This window comes from Homo sapiens, chromosome 1 (genome assembly GCF_000001405.40).
Source record: "Homo sapiens chromosome 1, GRCh38.p14 Primary Assembly".
In the NCBI taxonomy this organism is placed as follows: domain Eukaryota; kingdom Metazoa; phylum Chordata; class Mammalia; order Primates; family Hominidae; genus Homo; species Homo sapiens.
In genome coordinates, this window is record NC_000001.11 from 247,495,331 (window position 1) to 247,518,348 (window position 23,018).

At 39.9% G+C, this 23,018-nt stretch overlaps 1 protein-coding gene across 6 annotated transcripts in view; it reads left to right on the forward strand.

The window, feature by feature from the left end:
• The first annotated feature begins 11,727 nt into the window (after positions 1-11,727).
• Positions 11,728-23,018, forward strand: part of GCSAML (germinal center associated signaling and motility like) — a 70,633-nt gene continuing 59,342 nt past the window's right edge. For 5 of the 6 annotated variants that reach the window (NM_001281834.2, XM_047447035.1, NM_001281835.2 and 2 more), the window contains exon 1: positions 11,779-11,903. The gene's annotated coding sequence lies outside the window, so the exon portion shown is untranslated. Of the gene's footprint in view, positions 11,904-23,018 lie in introns of all 6 variants that reach the window. The other variant, NM_001281853.1, reaches the window with a different exon arrangement.

The following is a 23,018-nucleotide window of genomic DNA, read 5'->3' on the forward strand; positions in this document are numbered from 1 at the left end:
TCTGATGCTCTTTAAAAAGTATTTGGGAAGTACAGAAAGACAATAATGGTACCTGAAAAAAAGAATTTCTGTCTGAAAAAAAGTTTGTGTATGGAAGGCAGGTAGAGTAAGATTGATTGTAAATGATGTTAAATCTGGCTGGGTGCGGTGGCTCATGCCTGTAATCCCAGCACTTTGGGAGGCTGATCACTTGAGGTCAGAAGTTTGAGACCAGGCTGACCAACATGGTGAAACCCCATTTCTATTAAAAATACAAAAATCAGCCGGTCATGGTGGTGGGCACCTGTAATCCCAGCTACTTGGGAGGCTGAGGCAGGGAGAATCCCCTGAACTGGGTAGGCAAAGGGTGGATTCCTTCCTTCCTTCCTTTCCTTCCTTCCTTTTTTTCTTCTTCTGTCAGCAAGTATACTATGCTAGGACAATGGAGATACATATATGAAAGACTTAAAGAAAAAATGCAACCTGATGCTGAAAATGTGCCGTGGAATGAATGAGGTGGTACTTGATCATTGAAGTTTGGGTGTTTCTATAGGAGATGAAGTCTGTTTTGAGTCTTAAAGAGTGAATAAGTTAGAAAGGAAAAGAATGGGAAGGAAATGCTATACGTAAAAAATAAAAAGACTGTGCTGGTCAAAGAGAAGACGAAAGGTATTTTGAGTTTGGTAGTTTGACATGTTTGTTTGTAGGGTTCTTATGGGGAATTGCCATGGTTAAATAATGGAGGCATAGGCAAGAACAAGGTTGTTGGGCACACTCTTCTAACAAAATACCAAGTTGAGGAACTTGGATTTCATTTTTCCTAACATGGAGAGAAAATGAATGCATTTAGGAAAGAGAGTGGCATAAGTAGGGTGTATTTTAGGGAGATCATTTGCTGCAATGTAAAATATATCTCAAGAAAGGGAAGAAGAAAAGCATTTTAATTAACTCAAGAGAGAAGTTGTAACAATTTAATTAAGAAAACTAGAGTGTGAGTGAAGAATAGGAATTGGATTTTGGAGATGTTAGGGAATAGAATTTTCAGGATTTAGGATTTGACTGGAAGTGAGAAATGAGTAAGAGAGAATAAACACGACTTAATCTCTGGTATGTGATTAGCTTTTCTGGATGTAGAAAGAGCAGGTTGGGGGGTGGCTGCAGACTTTAATTTCACATGAGTTGATAATTAACACAGTTTTCTCCCAAATTAGAAGGAAGCATCTCAAGAATCAGTATTTTAAGACTAAGGGACCAAATCCTGTGAAAATAATGATCACAGATTCATCATGTCCTCTGAGCCATCCTGGCACAGAAGGACGTATTAAGCTTTTGCTAACACACTCCAAGCTCTGGAACTGAGCCATTAAAAACTGTGCTGTTCTTATGTCTGTGTTGGGCCTCTGAGGTGAAGGTTTCTTGGGGATTGTCTCTGTCGTCCCTAATGGAATGAGCTCTGAGGCCTGGGTGGATGATGACAACCCCAGTCAGGGATGTGTCTAACAAGTCAATGTGTCTGGAATCTCATTGCCCTGGGCAAAGGCAGAGATAGTTTGATCCGTTGGGTCTTTCCTGATCTGCCTGACTTAATTCTGTCTCTGAGCAGTACATCTATAATGGATCAAACCATATAATTCCTTAAAAGTCCAACAGCTGGTGAATTAAGTCAGTAAATGGTCCAGTTTAAATTGACTTTATTTTTATTACCCAGGTTATTTGACTGAGCTGATCCACTCTTTTACTTTTGTCATTGTAGATATAATTACACTAACAATCAAAGCACTGTTTCTTCCGTCCCACCCAGTGAGAACATACGGTGTTTACCTTTCTGTGCCCGACGTATTTCACTTAATGCCCTCTGATTTTATCTGTGTTGCCGCAAATGACAGGATTTCAAATCTATATCAGTGAGGAATTTTGTTTGTAGTTTCGCTTTTGTTCTATGTATTACTATTATTATTTTTTCACACGGAGTTCCACTCTTGTTGCCCAGGCTGGAGTGCAATGGCGCGATCTCGGCTCATGCAACCTTTGCCTTTCGAGTTCAAGTGATTCCCCAGTCTCAGCCTCCCAAGTAGCTGGTAGGTGACTGAGAAATGCTTCAAAATTAGCCAAAACTTAAAATTAAGTTAAAGTTTACCTTCAAGATTCAACCTGAATGAGTCACTCTGTATTGCTGGTAATAAAAAATAAGTTTTTAATGGTATAAAAGCAAACCCCAGAGAATGTTTTTTCCCCAGTTGACATCTAAATTAAAAACTGTAAAACATTTGTATGGCCTTATGCACTTTTTACTTTAGAATTCCAACTTTTTCTAGTTAAAATTCTTCTAAACAGATTCCTGTGCATTTGAAAGACAAATGATTTTTTAATTGAAATGCTTAAGCAGTTTTTAAGAAGTTAAAGCTGTTGTGCTTATTCTTTAAATAGTTTATTTAATATAACTACATTTTAAGAGTTTGATTTAATGTTAAGTTCTTCTCAACTTTGTTTAAGAAGCAGAAAGCATTACATGAGATTCTTGACAGATGCTTTCAAGGAATCTCTTTAAAAAATGTTAAAGGTAGAACTATTTAACATAAAATTGAATTTTTAAGTGTTTGCATAATTTGAAAAATTATGTCTCGCAGCTTTTTAAATGCCCAACTATGATACATATTTTCCCTTAGTAATATGAGGATAATAATTGTAGTTACCATGGGCTAACTATATGCTGCACGACATGCTAAATTCTTTATGTATATTTATCTTCTAATCTTTAGAATTGTCTAAAAAGTTTGGCAGTTTTATTGTCTTTATTTTTATAACCATTATTCTTGATACATTATACAGTCATTTTTTCTGTTCTTGATTTTTAATGTATGTTTATGTTTGTTCATGTGCTTTTATTTCTAATAATGTAATAAACATTTAAAATTAGAAAACTGAGATTTAAAAGTGGACTAAATTGTCCATGGGACACCGAGCTGTAAGACGCAGAGCCAGGATTAAAACTGGCATCTGATTCTAAAACCTGTGATGCTAACTACTGTCATTGCAGAAAAACTTCTTTGTTCTACATGAATTATCTGTTGATTTCTCCTCTCAGTCTTATTTTTTTCTTATACTCATTACTATTTGACATGTGTGTGTAGATTTTTTTTATAGAGATGAGGTCTTGCTTTGATAATCATACATGTATATTTTTAATTTACTATCTGTCTCTCTTGCTTTTTTGTTCACTGTTCTAAAACAATTGCAGGCATTTGTATGTGGTTTGTAGGTATTGGTTGATACTTAAATGAATGAATGTAATTAGTGTATTCTGTACACCATCAGTGCATATATTATTAAAGATGTGATAGATTTCGTGTTTTCCTCTCTTTATATTGTTCCTATATTGCAGCAGTCCCCAGTCTTTTTGGCACCAGGTACTGGTTTCGTGGAAGACAACTTTTCCATGGACTGGGCAGGGGGACGGCTTCAGGATGATTCAAGTACATTACATTTACTGCATACTTTGTTATTATTGCACTGTAATATATAATGAAATATAAAACTCACCATAATGTAGAATCAGTGGGAGCCCTGAGCTTGTTTTCCTGCAACTAGACAGTCCCACCAGAGGGTGATGGGAGACAGTGACACCTGAAATGTGGTGCTTATGTCCAGTCTACTCCATAATCTTGGTTGCTGTCACTGCAAAAAACCATGCTTCACAAAGACAGGATGTTGGAAATGGAAGCAGGTGTTTCAGTGATACTATTGACAAGGAAGTGTCAGTGCTCCTGTGGAGAACAGGAATGGTTTTGCTGTCCTTAAAGTTTACATAACATTTACTATTATTGGTCCTTCTCTGTGTTCTTATTTTTTTTCTGATATCTCTCCTCTCTTCTTCCTCCTCTTAAATGGTACATCTAATCCTGTTCTTTTATTCTAATTTTTTTTAATGCTTTTCAATGCTTGCAGGTCTTTACTAAATACCGCTATAATCATTTAACTCTAATTCTATTTCAATAGCTAAGCTGCCCATCTGGTATTTCCATTTTATTATACTTATCACAAACTTGATAAATCTGAAATTCGGTGCAATAGATAATTTTCTTGTGGTAGTTTAAAAATATGTTCAATAATTATTTGAAACTCTTCAAAAAGTATGAGGGATCTTCAAAAAGTTCATGGGAAATGCATATTATGAAGAAACTATGCATAGATTTCAGAAATATTTTGCACCTAAATAAACTTGTACTAACTTGTTATAACATGTCGGAACAGGATCTAATTTGAGGAATTATAATAAGAAAACTAAGACACCAGTTTGAAAAGAGGTCCTATTAAAGCAACATGAATTCTGCTAAAATTAACACAAGAACAAACATCAAATTTGTGGCAATTTTGGGTGATAGAATAGTAAAATCACTGGTTCTTTATGACAAGTTTATGAGGACAATGCCCTCCAACATTTGCAAGTTTACAAATAAATAACTCATTTGAAGAAGGGATGATAAGATTGAAGATAAAGCCTGCAGTGGCAGACAATTCACAGTTCACCAGAAAAAAAAATAATCTTGTTCATGTCCTGCTTTAGGAATAATAATAGCATAAACAACAGCCAACACCACAGCCATCTCAATTGGTTAAATTTACACAATTTTGAAAAATTTTCCACTCAATAGTTTCAAAAACTCTTGTTCCCAGATGAACTGCAGACAACAGCAGAGCTTTCAACTGCTATTTTACGTAAGTGGAATCAAGATCCTGAAGCATTTCTTCAAATAATTGTAAGAGGAGGTCAAACACAGCTGTTCCAGTGAAATCCTCAAGACTTTCTAGAGGGCCCAAAACAAAAAAACCCCAATAACACATGCTATTATGAGAGTATTTTGAGAAAGTTAGCCAAAGTTTTAGAAGAAGAACTTCCAGGAAATTTCACCAGAGAATTCTTCTCCACCATAACAATATTCTTCCTCATTCCTCTCATCAAAAAAAGACAATTTTGCTAGGGTTTCAATAGAAAATTATTAGGCATTCACCTTTTAGCTCTGATTTTGCTCCCGCTAACTTCTTTTCTGATTTTAAAAAAACTTGAAAGGACACCCATTTTTCTTCAGTTAGTAATGTAAAAAAGACTGTCTTGACATGGTTAAATTCCCAGGACCTTAGTTTTTTTGTAGGGATGGACTAAAGGCCAGTATTATTGCTTATAAAGGTGTCTTGAACTTGATGAAGCTTATGTTGAGAAATAAAGTTTCTATATTTTATTTTTGTGTTTTACTTTCATTTTTTCACAAACTTATTGAAGTCCTTTCATAGACCCTAATTCTCTTCTTCTTGAAGGTATGTGCAGCTTAATCATCCTTTCTTGTGAATAGAATGTGACAGAAGTGACCATGTGTGACTTCTGAGTCTAGGTCATCAAAGATTTTGCCACTTATGGGCTTTCCTTTTTCCTAAGCCACTCACGCTGGAGAAACCAACAACTATTTGGTGAGAATAGTCAAGCAGCGCTACAAAAACATCCATGTGGAGAGAACCTGAGGCCTTCAATTACAAACCCCACCAACTTGCGGGCCGTGAATGTGAGCAAACTTGAAAGTGGTCAAGCCTTTGGATGACAGCCCCAGTTGAAATCTGACTGTAACCACATGAGCTATCCTGAGGCACAACCACCATGATAAATTGTTCTTGAATTCCTCGTTTACAGAAACTCAATTAGGTAATACATACTGTGAGTTTACGCCACAAAGTTTTGGGGTTATATGTTATGAAACAATAGATAGCAATTTCACTCTTTCAACATCCATTTTACTTTTTACACAATCATGCATTTTTAATAATGGGGATGTATCTTGAGAAACGCACCACTGTGTAATATCATTGTTGTGTGAACATCATAGGATGTACTTACACAAACCTAGGTGGTAGAGCCTATCACACACCTAGACTATATGGTATAGCCTATTGCTCCTAAACTACAAACCTGTGCAGCATGTTACTGTGCTGAATACTGCAGGCAACTGTAACACAATGGTCAGCATTTGTGTATATAAACATAGAAAAGGTACAGTAAAAATATGGTATAAAAGATTAAAAAATGGTACACTTGAGTAGGGCACTTACCTCAGGTGGTCTGCTAATTTTCATGGTCACATGAAGATTCCAGTGAGATATATTTTACCATAGGTGACAGCCTTGACTATGTGCACTACCCATGAAGGTCCCCTTTGCCTTGCTCTTCCTGACTTGTCAAGTGCATGATGATGTGGTAAACCAGCACAAGAACTGAACTCTCTTCTCTTTCTATTAAGTTCTGCAGCTATTTATTCTGAGTTTGGTATCTAGATTTTGTAGACCCCATTTCTTTGACATTCTTGGTAGAATCAGGCCATCTTCATCCCATTGTGCTATCCTTGTGTTACTGTTATGTTTTATAATGTGTGAAGTTATTTTATAGAAGAATAATCTGAGGGTAGACCATAGGCATAGACCCTTTGAGCCTATTGTTTGAGCCAGCCTCACAGATTGGACAATTAGTGGTTTTTCCTGGATTAGCATCAATTTGGATAGACACTGCTGTCAGTTACTATGAAACTGGTTACATTTTCTTTTCTTTTTTTTTTTTTGTCTTAAGAAAACATCTTTAATCCATAGAGCATGTTTTCTCTGGTTTTATACCCACCAGGGTCATAGGCTTTTTTCTGCTTTAAGATATGGCCAACCATTGCATTAGGGCTGAGATATTAGGTGCACAGGATTACACACAAACTGTACTCTAAATACTCTTCATTTTAGGATAAAACTATTGGTATGTATATACTTTTATTACAATTCTTACACTTATTTCTCTGAATAGCATTACTTCATCAAGGATTATTTGAACCTTTAATGGCCACATTAATGAATGTTGACCAGAGAAACATTGTTTCTTTGACTGGCACTTTAGAAAAACAAAGATTCCTTGGGTCCAATGGGCAGTATTTTTAGTTGTTAGGCAGAGGACTCCACATGAAATCCTGAATTAAACATTGCTCCACTAAAATATTCTGAGGCTAAAGATGAAAATTTTTACAATCAGAAGCAACAAAAACTAGACACATTTTTTAGTAAATCCTTCCCCTCCTTGTCCTTCGGTTGCCTCCTGGCATGCAGATCTCCCTCCTGTCCCTTATGATTCTGTTCTCTCTTCTTCTGCCCCACCATTGACTTTTCCTTCTTGCTTTTTGTTCTGAAATTATTTTCCCAACTGTCATAAATTCTCAGATTGTTTGTTCCATCTAAAGATCCACCCTTACCATGAGCCAGATATGTAAGCAACTGCAGAATTTAAATCTAGTGCATGAGTTCAGAGTTGTACATGAACTAAGAAGTTATAATGAACAATTTTTAAAACTAAACAAGAAAATCAAATATTTATCAAATAATTTAGAATTCTTTAGGGCACATATGACCCAGGGTTACTTGACATATCAACTGGTACACCTGTTAATTTGAACATCAAATACTAAATCCTGCATGATAAAATGTGATTTGGTCTGACCTGTTAGGAAACTTGTAGAATTCCTCTTTCCAAAATAAGTATCACGGTCAAAAATCTTTCATAAAAACAATAAAATTATTAAACTATAGAAGAATTTGGAGATAGACTATAAAATTTATTGTCACAACTCAGAGTTAAATAAAACAGGTTTTCATTAAAATCAAATTATGTAAAAGTTATAAAACTGAAAATCTTAAAAACAAGGATAATTATATAATAAAAGCTATTATAAATACTCAACAGGAAACCAGAAATTATAATTATTTTGTCATTTGTTTTACTATCAACTCTGATTATTGTGTTTCTTAAAAGAAACAAATATATCATTATGAGGTGATCAGAAGCAGACAAGGAGGTTAGACATTCCCTCATTTATTCACTCAGCAACCCTGCCACAGAACTAAACCTATGCCAAGTGCCTGGTGGGCCCAGCGTGTGGTGCTGAGAAATGATTGAGTGGCCCTTTCCCGCATTCAAGGAGCCCACAGTCCGAGGATATATGGACAAAAACACTAAAGCAAGTACATGTAAAAGAAGAGTAAATGCTATAATAAAAATAAAGTAAGATGTTGGGAGGGAGGGCAGGGGAGCCATGGCATTCGAGGGACCCAAATGCCTCACTGAGGTGACATTTATGCCATGACCAGGATGACAACAGAAGGCCAGCCCTGCACAAGTCTGGGAATAGTATTTCAGGGAGATGCCACTCCTGGTGCAGAGACATGCAGGCAGAGGTGACTTTGGCAGAGGATGTGAGAAAGAGGCCGGTGGGGTTAGAGGGAGCCTGGGGCAGAGAAGAGGAGAGGGAAGGATGACTCTGGGGCCTGAAGAAGATAGTGATCTGCTTCTCTCTGACAATACTGTCCCCAAATTTAGCACCTTTAAACAACAAATGCTTACTATCTCACAATTTATGTGGACCAGAATCTGGACACCGCTTTGCTGGCTGCCTCCACATGGGGCTCCATGAGGCTGGGGCTGTGTTCTCAGCTGAAGCTGGGCTGTGGGGGATTGGCTTCCAAGCACACTCATGTGGGTATCGGTCAGGTTCAGTGTAGACTGAGAGCCTGAGTGTCTCCCGGGGCCTGGGCACTCTCTCATTCTCTGTTGTGTAGGCCTCCGCATAAGGCAGCTCATAACACTAGAGCTTGCTTTCCAAATTTGAGGAATACAGTAGAAAGACAGGGAGATAAATACATACTGACAGAGAAAGAGAAAGACATAGAGAATGACGAGAAAACACTGGACAGAGTAAGTAGAAAAGATGAGAGAAATAGAGGGATTGAGGGAGGAAATACAGAAGAAAGTGACTAGGAGAAAATCACAGCTTTTTTGATAATAACATGAGAATTGCAATAGACTGAACATTTCCCCACCAAAAATTGTGTATGTTGGAATCCTAGCCCCCAGTGTAACAGTACTAGGAAGTGGGAGGTAATTAGGTTCTGAAGGTGAAACCCTCATGAACGGGATTACTGGCTCCATAAAAGAAACCCCAGAGAGCTCCTTCCTCCACTACCTGTCAGGTAAAAATACAACGTAAAGTCCACAGTCTGCAACTCAGAAGAGAGAGTTCTCACCAGAGCCCAACCATGCTAGCGTCCTGATCTTCAACTTCTGTCTTCCAGAACTGTGAGAAAGAACATTCTATTGTGGATAAGTGGCTCAGTCTATCTTTGGTACAACAGCCTGACCTAAGACAGAAGTGTTATCCCATCATTTCCATCGCATTCTGTTGGTCAAAAGTGTCATTAACCCCTTAGTGTTGTCAGCCTTTCTGTAAGCTGCCCAGCACATAGGCCAAAATGAAGGACATGGGTCTGATTCTGAATATAATGAGAAGGCACTGAAAGGAGTAATGTCAGAGGATGACACTATCTGAATTCCATTTCATCTCAAACTCTTACTGGTGCAGAATGAAAAATGAGGCTGAGAGGGGAAGCGACTTTCCAATATCACACTGCTGGACACAGGCCTGTTTGAGGTGTATTCTATGCTACCTCCCATTCCTTCTTATAGTTCTTTTATCTCTAAGTGTGTGCATTATCTACATGGGATGCCACACCATGAGTTTTACAAGTTTTATCTCATACACACCTGATGAGTTCCCTAGGAAGGAGATGCTGGCATGTTACCCAATGTACGTGTTGAAAGGCCCCCAAACCCACAGTAACTTTTCTAGTGTGACAGAACTAGTAAGAAAAAGTAGGTTCTTACCCAGATCTGTGACCTCACACCTGAAGCCCTGGCTGTATTCAGGTCTTTCCAGGGAACTGAGGAGGGCTGTGTTTGCATAATTGTGCACAGGTAAAGAGTTGACATGCAGGGATAGTGAGCAGTCAGTGGCCCAGCAGGGCCTTGGGGTAGGTCTTATGGAAGCAAGGAGCCCAGAGGATGAAACTTTGAAAAAGTGATCTTACTTCCTTGGTGACAGACCCCAACAGAACTTATAATTCTGGTAACCCAGCACTCACATCCTAGAGACAGCCCTGTATCCAGGTGGGAAATGCTTGGTGGGAAATGCTTAAGAGAGCACAATGTGCTCCTGCTGGATCCCAACTCTCTTAGGCTCTTGCTTCAGGAAGGCCTAAAGTGAAAATCTTTTTGGAAATGCTGGTATTGGCTTATTCCTCACCCCAGACGTCTCTGGAGATTTTGCAGGGGTCGCCCAGAGGTAACATACGTTAAGTCTAAGGCAGGCTCCTCCAGCCTAGGTCTCATTAGTGCTTTCATTGTCCTTTGCTTTAGAATGTAAGGAAAAATCAGGAATTTAAAATAGCAAAAATTGACCAAAACTACATTTTTGTGAGATTTCCTAAGGTTCTGTGTTGTTGTTGTTTTGTTTGTTTTAGACAGGACCTCACTCTGCCACTCAGGCTGGAGTTCAGTGGCACAATCACAGCTCACTGCAGCCTAGATCTCCTGAGATCAAGCAATTCTCTCACCTCTGCCTCCGAAGTAGCTGAGGGACTACAGGTGCACACCACCACACCTGGCTAATATATATTTTTTTATTTTTAGCAGAGATGAGGTCTCATTATGTTGCCCAGGCTTGTCTTGAACTCCTGAACTCAAGCAATCCTCAATTTTTGATACATAGCTTTGCTAGGTGTAGGATTCTTAGTTGACAGTTTTTTTTTCTGTGAACACCAGCTAAAGAAAGTTTAAAAAGAAGAAATAGAGAAACTTCAAGTAAGGCAATTAAATGAACAAATTAAGAGCTAAGAAACAACAAGATGGGGTATTGAGGTTGTAGTTATGGCAGCTAATGATAGAATGGATCCAGGCAGAGAGTTCAGGCAGAACTGTATTTGCAGAGAGTAGAAGTCTGAGGGTGAAGGTGTCCTAAATGAGGCCAATTTGGAAGACTTTATTTTATTATAGAATCAAAGACAACGCACGGGAACACACCATGCCAAACCCAAACAGGCTAAGCTGGTGCTCTGTGCAAAGGTATATAGGTTTACGGGAAGAAAAGCTACCATTATAACATCAAGTTTTTTTTTTTTTTTAAATTAAAAGAATCACAAATGTGGCAGTTCTAGTCAGGGTTAAGGTTAAAGTTAAAGTTATATTTCAGGTTTGGTTGGTGGATGTCACAAAGCAAAAAGTTTGTTGCCAAGAAGTGGGTGTTCTAGTTTGTGAAATAAAACATCCCAATGACAGGCACAGTAGAGAAGAAAAAGGGATGGGATGGCAAACACAAGTTCCTGGAAATTTATATTAAAATAAGGTTTATAAAGGAGGACAGTGTGCATCTCAGTCATCAGTGCTGCCTGCAATGGAGGTGTTTATTTCTGCCCAAGATAAATACACCAGGCCTACTATGTGAGAGGTGAAAAGGAGCCTACATTATGCTTCCCACGCCAGATGCCTTGACTTGGGGTTCTGTTCCCAGGGAAAAAGAGCACATCTTTGAAGTAGTTTTGGAGCAGGAGGTATCTTCCAAATTCCAACGAAGTATCTTATATTTCTAGGTGACCCTGAGACCACTGGAGAAGAAATAAATGAAGGCCATGAAACTTCCTTGAACTAGTGGGAATCCATGAGAAAATCTGACATTATGTTCTCTTCTCTTGGAATAGAAATATTGTTTGACTTCCGTTTTGCTGAACAAGAAACGAGGCCAGACCACCCACCTGAGCAAGGCTACCTGGGACAATGACCTCACACATGGAAAACATTGGAGCCCATCTGCTTCCAATCTGCTGTTTTCCAAAAATTAGGGAAGTTGTTTTCCCTTTGATACCCTCTGTTTGTAACAATCCCAATGCCAACACTGTCCTGTTTCTACAAGAGACAATGACAAATATGAGCCTGAAGGAAGATGAGCTGATGGCATTCCCAGCTTATTACCACTCCTTGGGGGCCTTATCTTACATACATGGATTCAATTCGTAGATTCAGCTGGGTGAGTATCTATTATTCAGCTGTGTTAGAAGTGACTGCTTAAGACTTAGGTGTGTGGTGAAATGAGGCAGGATTTTCTCCTCATAATTACCATCTTACTATCACTGAGTCATAGCTAAAATCAGGAAATTATTCAAGAAGAAATAGAAATGTAATGTTATGAGGACATAAATTTAGAGATTTGTGGAAAGGCCTTCATAATTTTGTGGCATTTTCTTTGAGCTGGAATTATACTTGACATTTCATTATAATATATTAGCTATACCAGACTTTATGCATTTATGTAAAATTTTATTTGCTTTTATTATACTGTAAGTTCTGGGATACACGTGCAGAAAGTGCAGGTTTGTTAAGCATGTATACACGTGCCATGGTGGTTTGCTGCACCTATTAACCCACCATCTACATTAGGTATTTCTCCTAATGCTATCCCTCTCCTAGCCCCCTACTCCCTGAAGGTCCCTGGTGTGTGATGTTCCCCTCCTTGTGTCCATGTGTTCTCAACGTTCACTTATGAGTGAAAACATGTGGTGTTTGGTTTTCTGTTCTTGTGTTAGTTTGCTGATAATGATGGTTTCCAGCTTCATCCATGTCCCTGCAAAGGACATGAACTCATCTTTTTTATTGCTGCATAGTATCCCATGGTGTATATGTGTCACATTTTCTTTATCCAGTCTATCACTGATGGGCATTTGGGTTGGTTCCAAGTCTTTGCTATTGTGAACACTGCTGCAATAAACATACGTGTGCATGTGTCTTTATAGTAGCATGATTTATAATCCTTTGGGTATATATCCAGTAATGGGATTGCTGGGTCAAATGGTATTTCTGGTTCTAGATCCTTGAGGAATTGCCACACTGTCTTCCACAATGGTTGAACTAATTTACACTCCCACCAACAGTGTAAAAGCATTCCTATTTCTCCACATCCTCTCCAGCATCTGTTGTTTCCTGACTTTTTAATGATTGCCATTCTAAGTGGCATGAGATGGTATCTCATTGTGGTTTTGATTTGCATTTCTCTAATGACCAGTGATGATGAGCTTTTTTTCATATGTTTGATGGCCACATAAATGTCTTCTTTTTGAGAAGTGTCTATTTATATCCTTTGCCTACTTTTTGATGGGTTTCTGTTTTTTTCTTGTAAATTTGTTTAAGTTCTTTGTAGATTCTGGATATTAGACCTTTGTCAGATGGATTGCAAAAATTTTCTGCCATTCTGTAGGTTGCCTGTTCACTCTGATGATAGTTTCTTTTGCTGTGCAGAAACTCTTAAGTTTAATTAGATCCCATTTGTCAATTTTGGCTTTTTTTGGCCATTGCTTTTAGTGTTTTAGTCATGAAGTCTTTGCCCATGCCTATGTCCTGAATGGTACCGCCTGGATCTTCTTCTAAGGTTTTTATGGTTTTAGGTCTTATGTTTAAGTCTTTAATCCATCTTGAGTTAATTTTTGTTTAAAGTGTAAGGAAGGTGTCCATTTCAGTTTTCTGCATGTGGCTAGCCAGTTTTCCCAGCACCATTTATTAAGAAGGAATTCTTTCCCCATTGCTTGTTTTTGTCAGGTTTGTCAAAGAACAGATGGTGGTATGTGTATGGTCTTATTTCTGATTCTGTTCCATTGGTCTATGTGTCTGTTTTGGTACCGGTATCATGCTATTTTGGTTACTGTAACCTTATAATATAGTTTGAAGTTGGGTAGTGTGATACCTCCAGCTTTGTTCTTTTTGCTTAGAAACATCTTGGCGATTTGGGCTCTTTTTTTGGTTCCATCTGAATTTTAAAATAGTTTCTTCTAATTATGTGAAGAATGTCAGTTGTAGTTTAATGGGAATAGCATTGAATTCTTTTATAAATTACTTTGGGCAGTATGGCCATCTTCACGAATTAATTCTTCCTATCCATGAGCATGGGATGTTTCTCCATTTGTTTGTGTCCTTTCTGATTTCTCTGAGCAGTGGTTTGTAGTTCTCCTTGAAGAGGTCCTTCACATCTCTTCTAAGTTGTATTCCTACATTTTTTATTCTCTTTGTAGCAATTGTGAATGGGAGTTCACTCATAATTTGGCTCTCTGTTTGTCTATTATTGGTGTATAGAAATGCTTGTGAGTTTTGCCGATTGATTTTATATCCTGAGACTTTGCTAAGTTGCTTATCAGCTTAAGGAGATTTTGGGCTGAGACGATGGGGTTTTCTAAATATACAATCATGTCATCTGCAAACAGAGACAATTTGACTTCCTCTCTTCCTATATGAATAGGCTTTCTTTCTCTTGCCTGATTATCCTGGCCAGAACTTCCAATACTACGTTGAATAGGAGTGGTGAGAGAGGGCATCCTTGTCTTGTGCTGGTTTTCAAAGAAAATGCTTCCAGCTTTTGCCTATTCAGTATGATAGTGGCTGTGGGATTGTCATAAATAGCTCTTACTATTTTGAGATGCATTCCATCAGTACCTAGTTTATTGAGAGTTTTTTGCATAAAGGGGTGTTGAATTTTATTGAAGGCCTTTTCTACATCTATTTAGATAATCATGTGGTTTTTGTCATTGGTTTTGTTTATGTGATTGATTACGTTTATTGATTTGTGTATGTTGAACCAGCCTTGCATCTCAGGGATGAAGCTGACTTGATATTAGTGGATAAGCTTTTTGATGTGCTGCTGGATTTGGTTTGCCAGTATTTTATTGAGGATTTTTGCTTCGATGTTCATCAGGGATATTGGCCTGAAATTTTCTTTTTTTGTTGTGTCTCTGTGAGGTTATGGTATCAGGATGATGCTGGCCTCATAAAATGAGTTAAGGAGGAGTCCCTCTTTTTCTACTGTTTGGAATAGTTTCAGAAGGAATGGCAGCAGCTCCTCCTTGTACCTCTGGTAGAATTCAGCTGTGAATCCATCTGGTCCTGGGCTTTTTTTGGTTGACAGGCCATTAATTACTGCCTCAATTTGAGAACCTGTTATTAGTCTATTCAGGGATTCAGCTTCTTCTTGGTTTAGTCTTGAGAAGATGTATGTGTCCAGAAATTTAACCATTTCTTCTAGATTTTCTGGTTTATTTGCATAGAGGTGTTTATACTATTCTCTGATGGTAGTTTGTGGGATTTCTGTGGGATCAGTGGTGATACCTCCTTTATCATTTTTTATTGTGTCTATTTGATTTTTCTCTCTTTCCTTCTTTATTAGTCTGGCTTGTGGTCTATCTGTTTTGTTAATCTTTTCAAAAACCAGCTCCTGGAGTCATTGATTTTTTGAAGGATTTTTCGTGTCTCTATCTCCTTTAGTTCTGCTCTGAGTTATTTCTTGTCTTCTGCTAGCTTTTGAATTTGTTTGCTGTTGCTTCTCTAGTTGTTTTAATTGTGATGTTAGAGTGTCGATTTTAGATCTTTCCTGCTTTCTCCTGTGGGCATTTAGTGCTATAAATTTCCCTCTAAACACTATCTTAGTTGTGTCCCAGAGATTCTGGTACGTTGTCTTTGTTCTCCTCGGTTTCAAAGAACTTATTACTTCTGCCCTAATTTCATTATTTACCCAGTAGTCATTCAGGAGCAGGTTGTTCAGTTTTCATGCAGTTTTGTGGCTTTGAGTGAGTTTCCTAATCCTGAGTTCTAATTTGATTGCACTGTGGTCTGAGAGACTGTTTGTTATGATTTCTGTTCTTTTGCATTTGCTGAGGAGTGTTTTACTTCCAATTATGTGGTCAATTTTAGAATAAGTGCTATGTGGTCCTGAGAAAAATGTATATTCTGTTGATCTGGGGTGGAGAGTTCTGTAGATGTCTATCAGGTCCGCTTGGTCCAGAGCTGAGTTCAAGTCCTGAATATCCTTGTTAATTTTGTCTCACTGATCTAATATTGACAGTGAGGTGTTAAAGTCTCCCCAGTTTATTGTGTGGGAGTCTAAGTCTCTTATTATTGTGTGGGAGTCTAAGTCTCTTTGTAGGTCTCTAAGAACTTGCTTTATGAATCTGGGCGCTCCTATATTGGGTGCATATATATTCAGGATACTTAGCTCTCCTTGTTGCATTGATCCTTTTACCATTATGTAATGCCCTTGTCTTTTTTGATCTTTGTTGGTTTAAAGTCTGTTTTATCAGAGATCAGGATTGCAACCTCTGCTTTTTTTTTGCTTTCCATTTGCTTGGTAAATCTTCCTCCATCCCTTTATTTTGAGCTTATGTGTGTCTTTGCACGTGAGATGGGTCTCCTGAATATAGCACACAGATGGGTCTTGACTCTTTATTCAACTTGCCAGTCTGTGTCTTTTAATTGGGGCACTCAGCTCATTCATATTTAAGGTTAATATTGTTATGTGTGAATTTGATCCTGTCATTATGATGCTAGCTGGTTATTTTGCCAGCTACTAGCTGAGCAGTTTCTTTATAGTGTCAACGGACTTTACAATTTCATATGCTTTTGCAGAGGCTGGTACTGGTTTTTCCTTTCCATGCTTCAGGAGCTCTTATAAGGCAGCCCTGGTGGTGACAAAACCTCTCAGCATTTGCTTGTCTGCAAAGGATTTTATTTCTCCTTCACTTATGAAGCTCTCTTTGGCTGGATATGAAATTCTGGGTTGAAAACTCATTTCTTTAAGAATGTTGAATATTGGCCCCCACTCTCTTCTGACTTGTAGGGTTTCTGCAGAGAGGTCCGCTGTTAGTCTGATGGGCTTCCCTTTGTTGGTAACCCGACCTTTCTCTCTGACTGCCCTTAACATTTTTTCCTCATTTCAACCTTGATGAATGGGACGACTGTGTGTCTTGGGGTTGCTCTTCTCGCGGAGTATCTTAACGGTGTTCTCTGTATTTCCTGAATTTGAATGTTGGCCTGCCTTGCTAGGTTGGGGAAATTCTCCTGGATAATATTCTGAAGAGTGTTTTTCAACTTGGTTCCATTCTCCCTGTCACTTTCAGGTATACCAATCAAATGTAGGTTTGGTCTTTTTACGTAGTCCCATATTTCTTGGAGGCTTTGTTCATTTATTTTCATTCTTTTTTCTATAATCTTTGTCTTCACGCTTTATTTCATTATGCCGATCTTCAATCTCTGATACCCTTTCTTCTGCTTGATCAATTCGGCTACTGATACTTGTGTATGCTTCAAGAAGTTCTCGTGATGTGTTTTTCAGCTCCATCAGGTCATTTATGTTCTTCTCTAAACTGGTTATTCTAGTTAGCAATTCCTCTAACCTTTTTTCAAGGTTCTTAGCTTCCTTGCATTGGGTTAGAACATGCTCCTTTAGCTCAGAGGAGTTTGTTATTGCCCACCTTCTGAAGCCTACTTCTGTCAATTTGTCAAACTCATTCTCTGTCCAGTTTTGTTCCCTTGCTGGTGAGGTGTTGTGATCCTTTGGAGGAGAAGAGGCGTTCTGGTTTTTGGAATTTTCAGGCTTTTTGCACTGGTTTTTCCTCATCTTTGTGGATTTACCTACCTTTGGTCTTTGATGTTGGTGACCTTCAGATGGGGTTTCTGTGTGGCATCCTTCTTGTTGATGTTGACGCTATTCCTTTCTGCTTGTTAGTTTTCCTTCTAACAGTCAGGCTCCTCTATTGCAGATCTGCTGGAGTTTGCTGGGGGTCCGCTCGAGATCCTGTTTGCCTGGTTATCACCAGCAGAGGCTGCAGAACAGCAAAGATTGCTGCCTGTTCGTTCCTCTGGAAGCGTCGTCCCAGAGAAGCACCCACCAGATGCAGCTGGGGCTCTCCTGTATGAGGTGTCTGTCAAACCCTGCTGGGAGGTGTCTCCCAGTCAGGAGGCACAGGGGTCAAGGACCCACTTGAGGAGGCAGTCTGTCCCTTAGCAGAGCTTGAGCGCTGTGTTGGGAGATCCATTGCTCTCTTTGGAGCTGGCAGGCAGAAATGTTTGTCTGCTGAAGCTGTGCCCATAGCCGCCCCTTCCCCCAGGTGCTCTGTCCCAGGGAGAAGGGAGTTTTATCTATAAGCTCCTGACTGGGGCTGTTGCCTTTCTTTCAGAGATGCCCTGCCCAGAGAGGAGCAATCTAGAGAGGCAGTCTGGCTACAGCGGCTTTGCTGAGCTGTGGTGGACTCAGACCAGTTCAAATTTCCCGGTGGCTTTGTTAACACAGTGAGAGGAAAGCCACCTACTCAAGCCTCAGTAATGGCGGACACCCCTCCCCACCAAGCCTGAGTGACCCAGGTCACCTTCAGACTGCTGTACTGGCAGTGAGAATTTCAAGCCAGTGGATCTTAGCTTGCTGGGTTCCATGGGAGTCAGATCCACTGAGCTAGACCACTTGGCTTCCTGGCTTCAGCCCCCTTTCCAGGGCAGCGGATAGTTCTGTCTTGCTGGCATTCCAGGCGCCACTTGTGTATGGAAAAAGACTCCTGCAGCTAGCTCAGTGTCTGCCCAAACGGCCATCCAGTTTTGTGCCTGAAACCCAGGGCACTGGTGGCATAGGCACCTGAGGGAATCTCCTGGTCTGCAGGTTGCAGAGATGGTGGGAAAATCATAGTATCTGGGGCTGCAGTGCACCATTCCTCAGGGCACAGTCTCTTGTGGCTTCCCTTGGCTAGGGGAGGGATTTCTTCCCTGACCCTTTGCGCTTCCTGGGTGAGGCAATGCTCCACCCTCTTTCTGCTCACCCTCTGTGGGCTGCACCCACTTTCTAACCAGTCCCAGTGAGATGAGCTGGGTACCTCAGTTGGAAATGCAGAAATCACCAGGCTTCTGCATTGATGTCAGTGGGAGCTGCAGACCAGAACTGTTCCTATTTGGCCATCTTGTCAGCCACAACCCCCCCACCGCCTTTTTTTTTTAAGATGGAGTCTTGCTCTGTCGCCAGGTTGGAGTGCAGTGGTGTGATCTTGGCTCACTGCAACTTCCACCTCCCAGGTTCAAGCCATTCTCCTGCCTCAGCCTCCTGAGTAGCTGGGACTACAGGTATGCACCACCATGCCCAGCTAATTTTTGTGTTTTTCGTAGGGATAGGGTTTCACCATGTTGCCAAGGATGGCCCGGATCTCTTGACCTCATGATCTGCCCACCTTGGCCTCCCAAAGTGCTGGGATTACAGGCATGAACCACCACTCCCAGCCTGGAAATCTTCTTTTAAGAATTGTCTATTCGTGTCTTTAGCCCACTTTTTTTTCTCTCGCACTGATTTGAGTTCTTTGTAGATTTTAGATATTAGTCCTTTTTTGGATGTATAGATTGTGAAGATTTTCTCCTACTCTGTCAGTTGTCTGTTAACTCTGCTATTTCTTTTGCTGTGCAGAAGCTTTTTAGTTTACTTAAGTGCTATCTATTTATCTTTGTTTTTGTTCCATTTGCTTTTAGGTTCTTGGTCATGAAGTCTTTGCCTAAGCCAGTATCTAGAAGGGTTTTTCCAATGTTATCTTGTAGAATCTTTATGGCTTCAGGTCTTAGATTTAAGTCTTTGATCCATCTTGAGTTTATTTTTGTATAAAGCGAGAGAGGAGGATCCAGTTTCATTCTACATGTGGCTTGCCAATTATTCCAGCACTATTTGTTGAACAGGGTGTCCTTTCCCACTTTATGTTTTGTTTGCTTTGTCGAAGATCAATTGACTGTATTTAGCTTTAATTACGGTTTCTTTATTCTGTTCCATTGGTCAATGTCCCGATTTTTTATACCAGTATCATGCTGTTTTGGTGACTACTGCCTTATAGTATAGTTTGAAGTTGGGTAACAATGCCTCCAGATTTGTTCTTTTTGCTTAGTCTTGCTTTGGCTATGTGGGCTCTTTTTTGCTTCCATGTAAATTTTAGGATTGTTTTCTCTAGTTCTGGGAAGAGTGATGGTGGTATTTTGATGGGAATTGCATTGAACTTGTAGACTGCTTTTGGCAGTATGGTCATTTTCATAATATTAATTGTACCCATCCATGAGCATGGGATGTGTTTCCATTTGTTTGTGTCAATGTCATTATTTTTAAAATGCTGCCATTTGACCATCATAGAACTAGAATATGTGGACTATGAACCACGTGAAAGCTAAGGAGCCATTAGACAAGGCAGCCAGATAATGAGTTAAGTAATGACAGCATGGAAAATGAATAAAAGCCTTTCAAATCTCTGACAAAGTAATTGAAGAAAAGGACTTTTCCCCTGTGTGAAGTTTGTGGTTGAGACATTGTTGCACTGCAACAGTAACTTTAATTTTTAATGTGCAAGAATATATTTAGAAATACAGTTTAAAATGTTGTTTATGAAAAAGGAATGGTAACTAATTAATATATAATAACTCTGTACCTTGATGAGGTCCTTGTAGGTCCAACAGCTTCCTGTGTTAATAGATGTAGTGTATCATTCTGTTCTCGCACTGCTAGAAAGAACTACCTGAGACAGGGCAATTTATGAAGAAAAGAGGTTTAATTGACTCACAGTTCTGCAGGCTGTACGGGAATCATGACTAGGAGGCCTCAGGAAACTTACAATCATGGCAGATGGCGAAGGGGAAGCAAGCTCCTCTTACCATGGTGGAGCAGGAGCCTGGGGAGGTGCCACACACTTTTAAACAACCAGATCTTGTGAGAACTCATTCACTATCATGAGAACAGCAAGGAAGCAATCTGCCCTCATGATCCAGTCACCTCCCACTAGGCCCCTCCTCCAATTCAACATGAGATTTGGGTGGGGACACAAATCCAACCTGTTATCACACAGTCTTTTCAGTAAACCCAGCAGTGATCAGACTCAGGAAGCACATTTATTATACTAACCACACCTACACATAGTTAGCTGATAAGACTCTTATCTGTTGGTTGAGGGGGGAGGAGACCCAGAGAAGGACCAGAATATTGTCATTTAGGGTATGATGTTTAGGCTGTTAGGTGGACAGCAAAAATGGCAGAGGAAGGCAGGGTGGTACAATGAGTGATAGATGATGCAATGTGAATCGAAGGCCTAAAACCCACAAGAACAGGGGTGTTTTGCCACCTACAGTAAGAACACTCATGTCAATACGGCAGGACCACTTCCTTCTTGTGTGTTTCTGAAAACACATATGGGAACTCCTAATCTCTCATTCCCTCTTTTCTAAATGTTATAAGACAATTTGTAATACTGTGTTGACATTATGGATTTTGGTTTAGAGTTTAGGCATTTAAAAGACACTGGACCCTACGTCTGCGACAGAGCAATTAGCGAACACAGGTGATGAGTACTGAACAACTTGAGTAAATGATTCCTTGTGTCCATGTTACAATTTCCAAGCTCCAATTCATGCTGACCTAGTTTAGTTCTAGATGTGTATTCTCATGATGAGATCTGCAGATACAACATGCTCATAATAGATTCAGTTTCTAAAGTGTCCCTTAAACTGGTTTGTCTACAACTTTCATGTTGACTGTTTTTTTTTTTTTTTTTTTAAACTCCAGATCTAACTGCACTTTATATATGGCTGGTGATCAGACAGTAACCCTTTTCTGAGTTTAGGGTCTACAATCCTTTCAGATTAGACCTCAAATGGACACATCCTGTACGTGGACAGCAGAGCTATGGAAAACAAGAGGGATGCATTTGTAACCCTCTGTTTACACTACAACCTAACTTCTTCAGCAGCTGAGTCCTTGTCAAGCCAAAAGGAGTGATAGTAGAAAATTATATTCGTACAGCCAACATTTAATTGTTGACATACAGAAAATACTTTTTTTTCAGTTAATTTCTTAATTATAGGCGAGATCTATGTTCCCAGCGCAGATACTTGATGGGTGTCTATTTAATAATGTGAATATTTAGTTTGCTTTCACGAAGGAGTGCAGGTCATAAGACATACTTACTACCAAAATAACTCTCTACAATGATCCTGATTATTCTGCTTAACTGATCTCTGGGCACTGAATAATATTGACTGGAAAGGCACAAAAGAACATTCCTTGCTTTTCTGCTCTTTGTGAGTGGACATGGCAAGGAAGAAAATCCTTTCACCTTTGCACAATCAAAGCTGCTTTTGGTCTTTTGGATAATGTCAGACTAATCATTGAGTCAAGAGATTGGACCAAATCTTTAACAATTCAGAGTAAAATGAATTCAGGGCTCCCCTGTTCTCTAGGGCCCCCAGGCTATTTTCCCCAAAATGTACAGGTATTGTGAGTAACTTATTACTAGGTGTCTTGTCTCTTTCCTATCTAAACCTGCAGTTCACAGTGCAAGGTCGGCACAGAGTGTGAGACTGTACTCTTTATGCAGTGGATTTTAAATCACTGGAACAAAAAAATGTAAAATGTGGAAATGTGAGAGCTGATCGTATTAATTGAAGCTATTGTTCCACAAATTTTAGGAGATTGTATCCAGTAGCAGAGAAATTGGTTCATGGTTAGTAGATTCTGACAAAATATTTTTTTTAATATTATTTACTTATTTCTGAAAATAACAAAAAGCTTGTTTAAAAAATTTTTATTTTTAAAAGTCTACCCAGTTAACTCGCTTGACTAGATCAGAGTGCTACTGAGAAAAAAGTTTTAGCTTTCTTCTCTTCACAAATATCTTTACTTAACGTCTTGCCCTTCAGTGCTAGATAACCAGCAGGCAAGTGAGACTCGCTAAAAACTGTGGGTGGTGGAATGGATCCTCCGCACTGAGAGGACAGAACAACACGTGCCATTTTCTAATCACTGCAGCCTGTGAACCTCTCTAAATAGGCAAATGAGGCCAAGGGCGATGGAGGGTCAATGAGAGCTCGCGGGGTGACGCCATTCTGCTGGGGTTCTGGAGAGGCCAAAGCTGGAGACGGTCCCGTTTGTGGTCAGCACGGCCTTTTACTTTCTGGCCGTGACTGGCAACTGCACCAACGTCCTCCTCTCCCTCCCACTGCACACTCCCACTTCCTCAGCGACCGGGCCCTTCTCCACCTCCTGCCACAGCACTCGCAGCTTCTCCCAAGTGCTAGTTAACCGCGGGGGCTCAGGCAAATCCATGGCCCGCGTGGGTGTGCGGTGCGGCCCTCTGAGGCCTCTGGCTCCTGGTCTGGCCTGGCCGCGCCGGCTCCGGGAGCTGCCATTCCGCCCTGACGTCGCCGCGTACACGTACCTGGGGCGGTGCAGTCACCGCTGCCTCTGCCAGTTCGTGTGTGGGACGCCGGCCATCACCGCATTTCCGCGTGGACGCCGGCAGGGTGGAACGCCTGGCTTTCCCCGGCCACCCCA